This window comes from Homo sapiens, chromosome 6, assembly GCF_000001405.40.
Source record: "Homo sapiens chromosome 6, GRCh38.p14 Primary Assembly".
Lineage (NCBI taxonomy): Eukaryota > Metazoa > Chordata > Mammalia > Primates > Hominidae > Homo > Homo sapiens.
In genome coordinates, this window is record NC_000006.12 from 118274875 (window position 1) to 118291179 (window position 16305).

At 40.0% G+C, this 16305-nt stretch overlaps 1 protein-coding gene across 2 annotated transcripts in view, besides 1 other annotated feature; it reads left to right on the plus strand.

Moving 5' to 3' along the window:
* Positions 1-16305, plus strand: part of SLC35F1 (solute carrier family 35 member F1) — a 410408-nt gene that overhangs the window by 367611 nt on the left and 26492 nt on the right. For both annotated transcript variants that reach the window (NM_001029858.4, NM_001415931.1), the window contains exons 5-7: positions 585-741; positions 2620-2672; positions 10310-10464. In NM_001029858.4, the coding sequence (NP_001025029.2) occupies positions 585-741; positions 2620-2672; positions 10310-10464 (365 nt within the window). The remainder of the gene's footprint in view (positions 1-584; positions 742-2619; positions 2673-10309; positions 10465-16305) is intronic.
* Positions 5448-5507: a silencer, noted in NCBI's record as "silent region_17500". NCBI's record gives its function as "represses an Ori minimal core promoter by ATAC-STARR-seq in GM12878 lymphoblastoid cells {active_cell/tissue: GM12878}" and the evidence as "EXISTENCE:reporter gene assay evidence [ECO:0000049][PMID:35858748]".

Sequence of the window (16305 nt, forward strand, 5' to 3'; positions counted from 1 at the left end):
CTTGACGGCTTCTGTTATAGCTTCCCTCCCTGAATAGCAGAGGGTGGAAATGTATACTGATTCTGTTTGTTCTATGCCATGTTCACTAAACTGCTGGAAAATGTCCTGAAACCAATATAACTTGTGCATGTATTAGCATATATTCATAGACATTAGCCAGGTGTGGTGGCAGGTGCCTGTAATCTCAGCTACTCTGGAGGCTGAGGCAGGAGAATCCCTTAGAACTTGGGAGGTGGAGGTTGCAGTGAGCCGAGATCGTGCCACTTCATATTTGTATAAATCTGATAAGTGAAAATCTGATACCTGGACAGAAGATAGTGGGCTTTGTAGAGAGGGTGTGATCTGGAAGAGACTGATCTCTTTCTTAGAGAAGACTTCTAATTGTGTCAACATAGGCAAACTTTTTATATCAGAACGTGTCTAGAGCACAGATAAACTTTACTAAATCTCAGTTGGAAATTGCATGACTTCTATAAAAATGTCAAAATAGAATAGGCAAGGGAAGCTCAATTTGCCGATGCCAGATTCTTGTTAAGAAAGTTTTAATGATGCTCCCTCTGTTTGTTTGTTTGGTTGGTTCCTAGGGGAAAATAAGCTGGTAGGGGACCTTCTGGTCTTAGGAGGAGCCACACTCTATGGTATTTCTAACGTCTGGGAAGAATACATCATCCGAACTCTGAGCCGAGTGGAATTCCTGGGAATGATTGGTCTCTTTGGAGCATTTTTCAGTGGAATTCAATTGTGAGTAAAAATAACAAGAAATATAGATAGTAGAGGGACTGTCAAGACTTATTCTTACAATTTTTGTTCTTGGGATGTAAAAATCAAGGCTGGAATCCAGACACCAGCTTCCTGTACAAAGGACTTATGTAATCTGCCAACTCAATATCTTTATTAGTAAATCACCTCCAAATTAAACAAGTTTAATATAAATTTTTACAAAACACTTAATGTTTATAAAACATTGTAAATAATTTGCAGGAAAGCATTAGAAGCATTAGGATTGATTCTCTGAAATCCATGAGTGGGTTATTACTTAGAGAAGTAGAAAAACTAAGCATAAATGCCCCAATTCAATGCATTTCCAAAAAGGAACATTCTGTCTACTAGTGACAACCACCAATAGAAAACTTATAGTATAAAATTACCCTTTTATAAATGTGTGATTTTACTGCCCGTGGATTTGCAAGAGTGGACCATATTTCAAATTTATCTCTTAGAATTTAGCATTTCTATTTTCCTTAAAAAGGTGAAGTTATAATACAGACATTCACTAAGCATCACAAAGTCAAAAGCACCAGTTTTGCAATAATTCTACAACTGGAACGTATAAGTCATCCCTGACTATTGCCTCAGAATTTGTTATGAGCATAAGTTTCAATCAAAGCAATTTTCCACCAGTAAAGACCAATATTTTAGCTTCATGAAAGACATGAAGAATGATAGTATAACCTCCAGTCAAATTTTACTGAATCCCTTTCTACAAACAGGTAATTCTGATTTCACCAATCTCTTTCTACAAAGCAAGCACTTTCTAATTGCATGGGTTCAGTGTCTGAAATTATTTATGGAAGATATTTTAGCATCACCTTAAACAGGTTTTACAAATAGGCTGTTTTCAACAATCCACCAAATTTTGGTGTCTTGAGATACTGGTGAAAAACTTCACAGCAAACAAGGCACAGTCTGAGAAGGATTTATTTGGGGTCCATTTTGAAAGTGATGGCATTTTAAAGCTCCTAAATTTTGTGCTTCAGCTTTGTGAAAGGAAAAGGAATTATCTAGTTCAACTATTCATAGCCAACATTTTGTAGATAGATGGCTTCTTTTATGGGTTATTATTCTTGAGTCCAAAAAATATGTTCAGAGATCTAGTGCTCATTTGCTTCAGTTACAGTCTATTAGAGTTGAGTGTTCCCTTTGGGGGACAATGCCACCAAAATAATGGAAGTGGCACTAGGGTGTCCTTGGCAAGTGGGATATATTGAGGGCTCACTGGAATCAAAGTAATGCTGGTGGAGTGATACCAATGCCACCTCCCCATTCTCTTCTAGATGAGAGGTTCTCAAAATATGGTCCTCTGAGCAGCAGCACTGACATCACATGAGAACTTGCCAGAAATGCACATCCATGGATCTCACCGGATCTCTGAATCAGAATCCCTAGGGTTGGGACCAGGAAACAGTGTATTTTAACCCACTCTCCAGTTGGCTGTCATGTACATTTAACTTTGAGAACCATTGCCCTAGAAAACACTCAATCAGAAAATTGATTACACCTGCAAGCACAGACATTTTCTGAACCTCACCATTTGCTTTTCAGAAAGTATCTGTCAAACAGAAACAAAGGCTGTAGGCAGACTGTTTGGGTGAGAAGAGCAGGAAGGGTTGAGCGCCCCAGGGCCCCGTGGCACACCCTCACACACCGACCGGGTTCTTCAGGGATAAACTGCACTCTGCCTAATTAGACTTGCTTCTGCATGACCCAAAATTCTTTCTGAAATTCATCTGGTTGCTTCATTATTTGTATACATCTGATAAGTGGGGGGGAAAAAAGAAAGAAAGAAAGTAGAGTGCATTCTAATCTTGCTCATCAGGTTCATTTCCTTTGAATTTGCAGAGCTATAATGGAGCATAAGGAACTGTTGAAGGTGCCCTGGGACTGGCAAATAGGTAAGGAGTTGGCTCACATACGATGCTCTTTTTATAACCTGAGAAATGTGTTTGAAGAATGATGTGGGTCGGGTGGAGCACAAACAAGGAGGGGATTTAGAGTGGTAGGGGACAAGGGAAAATGAAATCCCTTTGTCATTTCAGGAAATCCTGCACACTCTGAGAGACTAAATTGTATTATTCATAGTGTTTCCTAATTGAGCTTCTGCCCATTTTCATTGCCAAGATGCCATTAGGGGAGACACAGAAGTGTGTTATTAGGTTAAACACCAACAGAAAAAAAAAACTGGCCTGAGGCAGTGGTAGCACATAAGTGACAGCAATTTGCCTTAGCCAAGAAACACTAAACTGATGTAACCATTAAAAAGTGCTACTTTAGTAAAGGGAAAAAAACTGAACTTAACAAAAAGCCATGAAAGGAAACAATGTAATGGGCATTCTGAGCCCATAAAAACCTTTCAGAAGGGAGCAGTTTGCACGAAAGAAATGGTTAATTGGTCTCCAAATGGATTTAGAAAATACCAGACACGCTTTGAGCTAGTTAATAGTCATCCAGGACTTCTCAGGTTCCACCTGTTTCTAAAACCACTTTCCTCAAAGAAATTTAGGACAAGGATTTAAGATCCTAGGACATGCTGTAATGATCAATCTCAGCAAGCCCTAAAAGGGACTGACATTTGCTACCCTCAGAAGGTGTCTCCACAGTGAGCACAGAACGTGGCTTATGGAATTGCATGGAAAATGTGTGCAGAGTGAATGTAAGTGGCAGGGAGGGGGCTACAGACTCTTCCCCACACTGAAGCTGGCTGCTTGAGCCATCTCCCCCTTATATGACCTTTGATACAACTTTAGCCAAATTCTGTGTCCATAAGGAAACACAATAAAAACATAAACTCCCGTGCATCACTTTACCTACCTGTCCCCATCCCCTAAGCATATGAGGCCAACTTACTGCAGACATCATTCCCTCTGAAGGCACATTGTGAGCCACAGAACTGTGCCTGACTCTCCCTAGGGTTTCTCTCTAGTGACTTCGAGGGCTGACCAGCCTTGTGTCTCAGAGTCCTGCCATTTAATTTCTCTCCAGTTGTGCTACAGAATTATATAATTAAATGAAAATCAACAGGGCAAGGAGAGAGAGAAGAGGAGGGCAACAGGGAAAGGAAACCAGTTGCATGTTACAGAAAGCATTTGTCTTTGTGACCCACAACACCAGAAAACAAAATGTTACCTGTGCTTGACAGCACTTCACATGCAGTGGTCCATGAGTATAAATTAATTTTATATTGATGGTAATAGTAATGATCAAAAAGAATTTGTCCTCAAACTATGTGGATGCCATGTGCATATCCACTGAGGTTCTGTTATAATTCAGTGTTAGTTAAATGAGTCATCAAAAGATAGTTTTATTCTGAGCTCTCATATTGCCATTAAAACGTCAGTCCCCTATAGTTGAAGATGATGAAGGACAGTGTAAAAGGAACACATTACAGAGCCATCCATTTAATTTCTGATTGGAAATGAGGCCAAAATGGCCTCCATAGCACAGTAGGGTGAATTTAGTTAACAATAATTTATTGTGTATTTCAAAATAGCTAGAAGAGATTTAGAATGTTCCCAACACACACAAAAAAATTAATCAATGGTTGAGGTGATGGATATCCCAAATGCCCTGACTTGATCATTACACATTGCATGCATGTATCAAACTATCACATGTACCTCATAAATATGTACAATTATTATGTATCAATAAAAAATGGCCTCAAAGGGGAATCAAATACTCATCTTCCTCTTTCTGAAGCATTTGTAGGGTTGCGTTTGGGATGTGTTTACACCAGGGCCTCCTTGGTCCTCATTATCTCGCCCTGACCTACTGCAAGGTTGTGTTGTTAGCTCAGTTCTAGACACATGGCATGCAGGGGATAAATGTTTACTAAGTGAGCAAATGAATGAATGGCAAGCAACAAAGATGGTCCTATTCTTTCCTCTCTCACCTCACAAAATACAGACAAAAGGGAAGAAGTGGAGACAATGGCAGGAGACTTTAAGCTTGACATTGCACTTTCTTTCTGTGGAACTGGGAGATGGCATAACAGCCACTGCAATTCATGGGTCACAGAGGCAGGGAGATATCAAGGGAAGGTCAGCACCCTCTCAAACCCACCCCACACTCCTTGAGAAGTCACCCGAGAGGCCAAGCTCTGATGACTATGTCCTGATGGAAAGCTCACATTCTTCTGTTTAGGAGACCAGAATCCAATAAGCCTTCATTTCTCAGCATCTGTCAATGAATTTCTCTGCCTCCCCACTTTCCACATTAGTAATCTAACCTCATATAATCTCTTGGACAACTCATGTGGTTGCCATTTTATCAAAGTGGAAAGATGGTTGTTGTTGTTGTTTTCCTTGGGGTTAATAAATATGTTTTCTATTTTTTCCTTTGGGATACATGTTTTCTATTTTCTTAACCCGAAGCACTTTTAAAAACAGATTTTGTTATTTTCCTACAACACTGGCCAATTGCAAAATATAGAGCAATTAAAAGCAAGAAGATAATAGTTATTGTTGTTTGTTTTTATTCCATTGTTTTACAGTACTGAACAGAAAGACTGATTGTGATTATCTAATCAGTAAACTCAAGTAAAATGTATGATCGAATACAGCTAAAAATACCCTTCTGGGGAGCAGGAATGTTAGAGTCACATTCATAAGTCTAATAAACAACTTAAACATTCCCTTTACCCCACGGGTCATACTGTCATACTGTGGGTCATACTGTGCTAAAGGATGTGTGAACAAGTGCAATCAATGTGAAAGTCAAATGTCAGAGAAAAGAAAAAGTGTGCCGGGTCAGTGAGCACAGGCTTGTGGTATGCAGGGGCCTTCTTCACTTTTGATGTTGTGGTTGATGCTTGTCTTGGTTTTGGTTTTAGTGTTTTTCCTGGAGGCCAAAACAAAAGAAAGATTTGGCCTCTCCCTGAATATGGAATAATGGGACTACAGAGCAGGAAAAGACCTAAAGGATAATTAAGAATACACCTTTCCTGGCCAGGTGCAGTGGCTCACACCTGTAATCCCAGCATTTTGGGAGGCTGAGGCGGGCGGATCACTTGAAGCCAGGGGTTCAAGACCAGCCTGGCCAACATGGTGAAACCGTGCCTCTACTAAAAATACAAAAATTACCTGGGTGTGGTGGTGCATGCCTGTAGTCCCAGCTACTCAGGAGGCTGAGGATCACTTGAACCCAGGAGGCGGAGGTTGCAGCGAGTCGGGATCACGCAACTGCACTCCAGCCTGGAAACAGAGCAAGAGTCTGTCCCAAAAAAAAAAAAACAATACACCTTTCTTTTTACCCATGTTGAATCTGAGGCCTAGGGAGTTGAGGTGACTTGACGAGCATTACATATCTGAGCAAAGCCAGCCCAGTGCCCTTTATACACTTAACCTAATGCATATGTTCTGAGAAGTCATCTAACCTAGCTATTGTTTTTAAGAATTACAAATAATATTTTAAAACTCTGGTATGTTCAAAATAAAGAGAAAGAACACAACTGAAATCCCAAAGAAAAAGACGAAATCAAATATATGTAGCATATACAGACACATACTTTATATATATATAGTAACTCTCTCTCTCTCTCTCTCTCTCTCTCTCTATATATATATATATATAAAATATTAACTGAGGTATTGATAGGAGTCAAATAGGATGTTCCTTCAAAGCCTTATTTCTCTTTATAATAATTAAACAATATAGATGAGTGTTATGTATTCAGAATTTAAAGTCAGGCTGCCTATGTGACCTAAGGGCAAGTTACTTAACCCCTGTAAGCTGGTCTGTTGCCTGTTTACTCACAGATCCATCTTTTACCCTTTCCTCTGCTCTGCTTATGCAAATCCACATCCCAGCCTCCCTTGTCAACTGGATTCCAGTCAGTTTTGGCCAATGGGAGGCAGTAGAGGGAGATTGGAGGTGGGAGAAAGAAAGAAAGAAACCATTGTTTCTCTCTGTGTCCCTCTGTTTGGGGTCAGATCTCCTCTAGATGTGGCTGAGTCTCCTCTGTGATTCTACCCCTGCTGGGCTTCCCTAACTTCTGATCTCAGGTAATGTGGCCTCCCTCTTGTATTTCCCTAGCTCTTGGGTTGTGAGTAACTCCCTGGTATTGCTAATCTTCAGGTTGTCTCACCATCCCTGTTTCCCCATCACCCATTTGAACACCTTTGTAACTTGTACTCCATATAACATATCCTCTATTTAACCCAGTATGGACTGTGTTTCTTGACTCTATAAGCCTATTTCCTAACCTGTATAAAGAGGATAGCAATAGTTATCAGCATTACACTGTTGTGGAGATTAATTACTGTACATAAAGTACATGACACATAGTGAGTGCTCAATCCATATTAGCTGATAATAGTATTTCCCATCTCTGTAGCTTAAATCACTTTAGTGCATAAGGACAAGAGTGATCAAATTCTATCCTTAGTGAGAGAGAGAACATTCCAAGAGGAAATGTTTATACACATACTCTGTTATAAATGTAGTTACTGCAGCCATTTTGTAGTTGTCAGTCAAAAAGTAATTCAGTTCATTTGTATGATCATGCTGATCAATTGAAAACCCTACCTGGACAGCAAGTTGGACTTTCAGAGGCATTGTTAATGTCCATTAACTATCTAATGTCCATCTAAGAACAGCCAAGGAAGGGCAACGATACTGCATTCCAACTCTCAATTTAATCATGTGTTAACTAGGCTGGCTATGCTTTGCTTGGGAAACAGTATATTCACATGCAAAAACATCGGTTGACCTAGTTGTCAATTGTGATAGTGTATATATTCCACTCCTGTCCCCCTACCTCTAATTTCTGCAACATTTAAAAATAGGTTGAGAATATTTTAGCTGGAAGCATCATAAGGTAGCCTGGTTAGCAAAGTGCCATGTATTTATTTCCCTACTCTCCTTTGCTCACCAACTGGGCTTGTAAAATCTCACCACTTCTCTGAGTCCTCCAATTATATATCCAGCTCCCTACTGGACAGATCCTTTTGGATAATGCATAAGCGTCGAAAACAACACATTCAAAATGGAGCATTTTATTTCTCCTGAAAATCTGGTCCTCTTTTAGCTCCCTCCATCTCAGTATATGGCGTCACAGTTCACCTAGTTTCTAAATTAGCCAGAACCCCTGGGCATCCTCCATGCTCTCCTTTCCCTCACCACCTACATCAGTCTATCACCAGGGCTTCTTGAGTCTTCACAGACCACTTCCCTTCTCCACTGCCGTTTCGAGCAAAACCAAGCAAGCTACCAGCCTCTCTTGCCGGGATTGTGACACCGCCATTCTAACTGGTCTCTGTAACTGGTCCCATGCTTTTCTCCTTCCAATCCCTTCTCCACAGAGTAGCCAAAATCACCTTTTGAAAATGTAGATCAGATTCTTTTAGTCAGCTGCCGCAAACTCCTCAATGGCTTCCTCGTACAACTAGAATAAGATACACATTCCTTTCTGAGACCTGCAAGGTCTGGCATAATCCATTCCCTTCCCAATTTTCCAGCTTCCTCTGCCCGTTCTCTTCATTCTGCTCAGCCATTGTGGCCTTGGTCAGCATCTGGGACACTTGAGGCCCTGTCCCTTTCAGGAACTTTTCATGTGCAGGTTTCCTTGGCTCCTCTCCTGGCAATCTCCTTTTGGTCCTTCAGCACTCGAGGTAAATGCCACCTCCACAAAGTAGCCCTACCTCACCACCCTGTCTAAAGCAAGCTCCTGACATTCTCTTTAAGAAACACTTGTCTTTCTGCATAGCATTAATAGCAACTCTAAGCTTCTTGTCTATCCTGTTTTTCATTGTTCCTAGCCCACAGCAGAGTGCTCAGGGCATGGTTAGTACTCAGAGAATAATAGTTGAATAAATGAGTGAATATACCAACAGAGCCCACAAGTCAAAGTCCACGCAAAATGATGGAAGGGTATTATTCTGGAACTTTCTAACCCAGTCATGGTATTTAAATCAGTGACACCTTCAAAAAACAAAAGAAAAACGGAAACAAGGCTCTGGTGCCTAGATTGTGTTCCGATCAAGTTTTATTATTTTTAGTGGATTAATTTGAGGATTGATCTTGTCCCTAGTCTGTTAATCACAGATTTCTTTAAGGAGTACCAAATTAATTTTTATGTCTTTTCATGTATTAGTCATAAGTTATGTAATACTTATTGCATTTTTAGTAGTTTGGTTAAAAGGAAAATGCACTACAGGGAGCATGAAACCCACATGCAGAAAAACGGTCCGTTTTTAGAGAATTCAAGCTTCTGATAGAGAATTAAAAACCAAACTAATATTACTGCGATAGAATCTACACGTAGGACTTTTACCTTTCCGAAATAGGAAAGTGGTTGTTCCCCCTTCCTCTGAGGGCACTTCTACCACGCTAGAGGGGGCTGTTGTACTGAGTTTACTTACTTATGTTCAGAATAATTTTTTTGTAGATCTGATGTGGCTTTCATATGGAACGATGATTTGTGCCCTTAAGCACTTTTCATATGGGTAAACCCAATTTATCTTTGGATGAATCCCTGGTCTTCATAGTCAGAAAGACCAGATATTCGGTACCTACCAAACTCCCCAAAATCCCTAAGTCAGAGGAAGCAAATCTGCCCACAGCCCACACCAGATACATTTAATCAAGGATTCCTTTGGAAAGGTTATTTTTATTATGTTGTAATACCAAGGCAGACACTGAATTTTAGCACTTATGCTTATCCTATGCCTTATTCTTTCAAGGTGGAGAAAAGAGCATTATTTTTTTTTTACATTTGCATTGTATCAACATTTGGGGAAAGTATAGATTTAGCTGTAAACTCCTGCTTGGGACCCTGCAAAACAGAGTACCCATGTCTAGGCATAATTACAGAGAAAGAGAGAGATTTGAGGATGAGAGATTGGCCACATAGTATTTTAAGGTCATGAAAGCCCACATGTGAGAGTTCACAGTATGCCAGGACATGTGATGGAAGGGCAGGATTCTGTGTGTTTTGGGTAGAGCAGAACAGAATTCAGAAATCTGGAGGAGACTGACAGATCATCATGTATTCCCAGCAATGAATTCGTCCACCCAAGGCCACACAGTCAAGATTCTAATTCAGTATTCTAAGTCCAGGTCTCTTTGACATGCAAGCTCTTCAACTTTAAAGACTACGTAGTTATTCATCATTGTGGGCAATACATGATAGCAAGCAGTTTTGTTGCTATTACTCAAATTAAAAACTAAGAGGTAAAAAAAAGTTTCAAAATAGATGAGTAGCAAAAGCTGATTACAGCACAATTGGGAGAATTCAAAAACCTTGATTCTGTGTTCTGACTATCGCCACTAAGAGGCACTCCTTCCCAGAAGAAGCAAAATGTCAGCAATGCAATAAGAAGCAGAAAGTTCATTTTTCACACTTAATTTTTTTTAATCTAGTTTAATTTTTGTACTGTGTTATCCAATAATAAACATCAGTGAATAGGGGAAAAGAGAAACTGCCTTGTGTGAGTGACAAGTGGTGTGCACTCTTCCCCTTCTTTCCTGCTGTGGATGCTGAAGATGCCCTGGAGGAGGCCCTGACGCTGCCTTCTCTTTACTCTTCCCCCAGGACTGCTCTACGTTGGCTTTAGTGCCTGCATGTTTGGTCTCTACAGCTTTATGCCAGTCGTCATAAAGAAAACCAGTGCCACTTCAGTCAACCTCTCCTTGCTCACAGCAGACTTGTACAGCCTGTTCTGTGGATTGTTTCTCTTCCACTACAAGGTAAGTTGAGTGAGTGCTCCTTTGTGAAGATGATACTTTGTAGGAAACAATGAACATGGGTAGGAATGCCTGGATGTGAAATGCCCTGATTTTGTGTAGGGAATAGTAATGTAACTGGGTGTGCTAACCTCCATGATTTAGGTATTCACATTTCAGCTATAAGACAGAGACATTTTGTCCTATGAGATCAGTAACTATGGACAATTGATAGGAAAAGATAAGAAACAGCCATAAAGGAAAGAGCTTTTGAATACTGGGGACAGCTTTCCTGATAGCATTCAGCCCAGAAGCTACTCTTTTTCCAATACGAACCTAGGAAGAGTTGTACAATTCCCAGACTACAGCTGCAAAATGGATTCTGCGAAAGGCCTTGGCAGAGTATGTTCTCTTTGGAGAAAAGACACAATTCCTGCAGTTTCTGCTTTGCAGATTTTTTTATAGCAAATATGAATGGAAAATGCTAATGCACTAGAAATAGTTTTTTTACTAAAAGATTGGGGTTTGAGTAAAGGAATGCAAAGAGATCATGTGAGGCACTTGCAGTGAATGCATCAGCCCTGAAGAAAAGAAGAAACTGTCCAGTCCAAAGATGTCAGCCTCTCAGAATGCAAAACTCTACCCGCATCTTTGCCCTAGGGAGGCATGACTAATTGATTATGGCACACTGAGGTCAGATCCTACTCCTCTTAACACCACACTCACTGCTGCCAATAACAATCAATTAGAATTGACATATGAGAAGATACCACTTGCCATTCCTTAACAAGTCCTGTAAGACAAGAGTCAACAGGGACTATGACCCAGTGTGAAACAGACCAAATATGGAATGTCCAAGCAGATAAGACCAAACTTGGATAGCTGAAAGAAGAAGAGGCAGAAGAAAAGAGACACTACTCTGGCCACTTCTAGCCAAGTTCCTCACCAGTGGTATTACAGCCACCATCCGCAGCACTCGGGGGTGGCCAGATGATGGGGCACCTTGGTAGGCAGAGCATCTTCATCCAGATGAAACAGGGTGTAGACGTTCCTGGAGCAACAATAAGCTAAAAAGAGCATGTACTTGATATGATCAGGGCAAAGCAGCTGAAGTGAATAATCAGGATTACTACTGAGAGAAGCAAAAGTCATAGCCAAGAAACCGATGCAGAAGGGCAGACACGGGTGAAAAAGAAGTTACAAACGAAGCTAGTTAGTAGCTAGGAGGATCAGAAACAGATCTGAGAGATGGTACAAGTTGAGAAAGTGGCTGTGACAGCAGACAGGAATAAAGTTCCTATTTTTCCTCCAGCTTTATTGAGGTATAACTGAGGAATAAAAATTGTACTATATACAGTATTTAAGATGTACAACATGATTTTTGGATGTATGTATACATTGTGAAATGTTCACCACAATCAAGCTAATTATATCCATCACCTCACATAGTTACCTTTTTTCTGTGTGTGTGTGTGTGTGTGTGTGTGTGTTTGTGTGTGTGTGTGGTGAGAATACTTAAGATCTACTTCCTTCGCAAATTTCAAGTACAGGTTACCACTAACTATCATCACCATGCTGTATGTTAGGTCTCCAGAACTTACTCATTTTATAACTGAAAGTTTGTACCCTCTAGCTATCATCTCTCCATTCCCCCAACAAGTTCCTATTTTATATGGAGCCTTTTGCCCAATACAGTGGCAAAACCGAGAGCTTAAAGAAAGTATCTAGGACTAGGCAATGTTTATTGTTTGCAGTTTGTTTCGTCTGTATGGAACAAGCTGCTTCCCAAGCTACCTTGGTCCTCATAAGGGTAAAAAGCAAGATCACAATATATTCCTCTCGTGCTGCTCCTAACCAGTGCTGGGAAGACCAGCTTCCTTCAAAATCCCCCTCCTCACACACCCAGTCATTTTCCAGAGCTCTGGGGAACACCTGGCTATGGGTTCATCCTCACAGCAGAGTGGCCACCAATATTCTTCTCTCCTCTTCAGTTAAGCATCCACATCTAGTCCATTACTTGGTGTGAACTCAGTTCTTAGCAATTAATCTTGTAATTTGCTTTATAAGCTCCTGAACTAGGAGAATCCCTTTAATCTTCCTTAAGGGAAGATAACCAAAATCTGTTGTTCTGCTGAGGGCTGCAGTCACTGCTTGGGCAGTTCAGACCCAGGCCAGCTCCCAGCATGCCTGAGAGCAGTGTTCTCGAAAATCTGGTTTCACTGGGGTGCTTGATAAAAATGCAGATTTTTGGGCCACACCCCTAAGCCACAGAGTCAATATCTGGAGATGTGTCTGGGGGAGTCTGGTTGGTAACATGTTCCCCCTGGCAGTCTGATGCCCTCTGAGTTTGAGAACCACTGTCTTTGATAACAGTGTACTCGAACAGTGCCTGTTCCTGTCTGGGTCTGTCCTTTCCCACACTTCCACTGATGTGGGGTTAAACCTGGGGTTCCTCAAACTTACACACATCAGGAAATGAGAGGGCTGATACGCTAATTCTCGGCAATCTATCCTCTCCTCCTGTCATTTGTATATTACTATTCATTGAGGATAAGTAACTTCGCTGAAGAGGAAACCATGTAGTAACCCCTCATTATGCCATCAGAAGGGAGGCTGTGTTATCTGAAAATTAAATTACTGTATTCACTAATTTAGAATTGTAATGGATATTTTTATTTCATACAGCAATGATTTGGGTTTTTTTTTTTTTTGGTATGGCAAAATACACATACATTTTGTTACTATTTGAAAGATAAATTTTCTTAAAGCAGGGATTGATCCAACATAGTAGTCATTTCTTCTAGTTAAAATTTATTTCTATTGCCTTTTTAAAAATTAAACTATGAATATACTTGTAGATTCACGTGCACTTTTAAGAAATAATAGAGAAAGCCCAGTTAACCCCTGTGAGCCCAAGTATCTGAGATAGGTCTCAATCAATTTGGAAAATTTATTTTGGCAAGGTTAAGGGTGCACCCGTGACACAGCCTCAGGATGTGGTGACAATATGTGCCCAAGGAGGTTGGGGAACAGCTTGCTTTTTATACATTTTAGGGAGACATAATACATCAATCAATATATGTAAGATTTACATTGATTTGATCTGGAAAGGCCAGACAACTCAAAGCAGAGGCTTCCAGGTCACAGGTTAGATTTAAACATTTTCTGATCAGCAGTTGGTTGAAAGAGTTATTATCAATAGGAAGGAATGCCTGGTTTACCATAAGGGGTTGTGAAGACTGGGGTTTTATCATGCAGATGAAGCCTCCAAGTAGCAGGCTTCAGAGAGAATAGATTGTAAATGTTTCTTATCGTATTTAAGGTCTGTGTTGATATTAATGCCAGTTGGCTCTTCCTGAATTCCAAAAGGAAGGAGGGTACAGTGAGGCATGCCCAACTCCCCCTTCCCATCATGCCCTGAACTAGATTTTCAGGTTAACTTTGGAATGCCTTTGGCTGAGAGGGAGGGTCCATTCAGATGGTTGGGGGGGCCTTAGAATTTTATTCTTGGTTTACACTCTTCACCTAGTCACTCACCCCTAGTGATAACATCTTGCCAAACTGCAGTACAAAAAAACCCCACAAAACGGTAGTACAATACCAGGATGTTAACACTGATACACTCAACATCCAGAACATTTCCATCAGCACAGGGATTGCTCATGCTGCCCTTTATAACCACACCTACTTCCCTCACCCACCCCCAGCTCCTCAAAATCACTAATTTGTTCTCCATTCCTATAAATTTGTCATTTCAAAATGTTATATAAATGGAATTACACAATGTGTTACCCTTAGGGATTGAGTTTTTCCACTCAGCATAATTCTCTGAAGATTCACTCAGGTTGTTGCATACATCAGTAGTTTATCTTTTTTATCATTCAGAAGTTGTCCATGGTGTGGATATGCCACAGTTTATTTAACCAGTCACCTGGTGAAGGACATCTGGGCATCTCTACTTTTGACTATTACAAATAAATCTGCTGTGAACATTCATGTACAGGTTTTAGTATAAACAGGAGTTTTTATTTCTCAGAGATAAACACCCAAGAGTACAACTGCTGGGTTGTTTGATAACATGTTTAGTTTTTATAAGAAACTGCCAAACTATTTTACAGAGTCATCTATTGTCTTTTATTACAAAGCAATATATATCCATTGTAAGAAAGTCAGAAAATGCAGATAAGTGCTCTTGTACATTGGTACCATTTTAGAGTGGATGTATATTTTTACAGTGCACATATATTTTACAGCTTATATATTTTTAATAAAAATTTAGTTATACCATCCATGGTTTTGTCATATGATTTATTTAAACTTATCATGTATATGTTTCCATATCATTTAATGTCTCTATATTATATAAGCCTAAATTTGTGGTTCTCAACTCTGGCCATACCTTACAATCACATGGAAAAAATATAAAACATAGTCATGCCTAGGTCCTGCCCAAGAAAGCGAGATCCTGATTAATTGGGAGCAGGTTTTTTAAAAGCTCTTCAGATTATGCATCATATATGCTAATATACAGCCAGAGTTGGGAGTCACTAATCTGTACTATTATTTTAATGGCTACACAGCATGCCACAAAATGGTTATACTTCCATTTTTTTAACCCAGGCTTCCTTAACCATGGCGATGTTGATATTTTAGACAAGACAATTGTTTGTTTTGGGGGCCTGTCCTTTGCTTTATCCCTGGCCTTGATCTACCAGATGCCAATGGCATCCACCCAGTAGTGAGAATCAAAAATTTCTCCACACATTGCTAAATATTGAGAACCACTGATTTAACAACCCTTAATTATTGAATTCAGGTGTTATCTCTTTTTGGCTATTAGAAATAATCTGGAAAATTAGCTTCTAAGTTTTTGTTCACATCCAATATTTCAGTGTTTTTTTTTTCAAAATAATTTATATGTAAATATACAAAATTGACTTTTTAATTTCTAATTTGAAACAGAAATCTTTAAAATAATTAGAGAATTCTACTGACCAAACAAGAGCCCTGCACAGAAGCAGTACATGCAAAGCCCTGTTAATATCATGACAACCAATATTAGGACATAGACATATGCTGTATTTCGTCTTCCCCTTCATTCTCATTGTACTTAACTGATACCACACCACTTAGCTCCTGAATAAACACTACCTTGTATTGTTTTCCAGTTGCTTTATGAACAATCATATTTAGTATCTGCAAAAAAAAAAAGCAAAATACTCAATTAATTTAAATCCAAAAATTAAAAAAAAAATTTATTTGCCTTAAAGAGTCTCTAAAAGGCTCTTCCAGGCAATGCTTGAATTTAAAATCAAGTAGTCATTGTTTGGAAAATTCATGTTTCATCCTCAGGGCCCTACTTCCCTGTCTCTAACATTGGCCTTGGGGTCTTCAGGTGGAGAGCCAGAACAGGGAGAAGTGTAGCACTAAGAGGCCCCCAGGTTTCCCACCACAGCCAGATGGGCTATCTCAGAAAATCGACTATTTTTTTTTTTTTCGAGACAGAGTCTCACTCTGTTGCCCAAGCTGGAGTACAGTGGTGCGATCTCGGTTCACCACAACCTCCACCTACCAGGTTCAAGCGATTCTCCTGCCTCAGCCTCCTAAGTAGCTGGGACTACAGGCACTCGCCACCATGCCCGGCTAATTTTTGTATTTTTAGTAGAGACGGATTTTCACTATGTTGGCCAGCCTGGTCTCGACCTCCTGACCTCATGATCCGCCCACCTTGGCCTCCCAAAGTGCTGGGATTACAGACATAAGCCACCATGCCCAGCCAGAAAATTGACTTTTAAATAACATTTATTGAAGTTACTTTTATCATTATGAGCAAATTATGGCCAATGCAAAAATCTTGGTAAATTT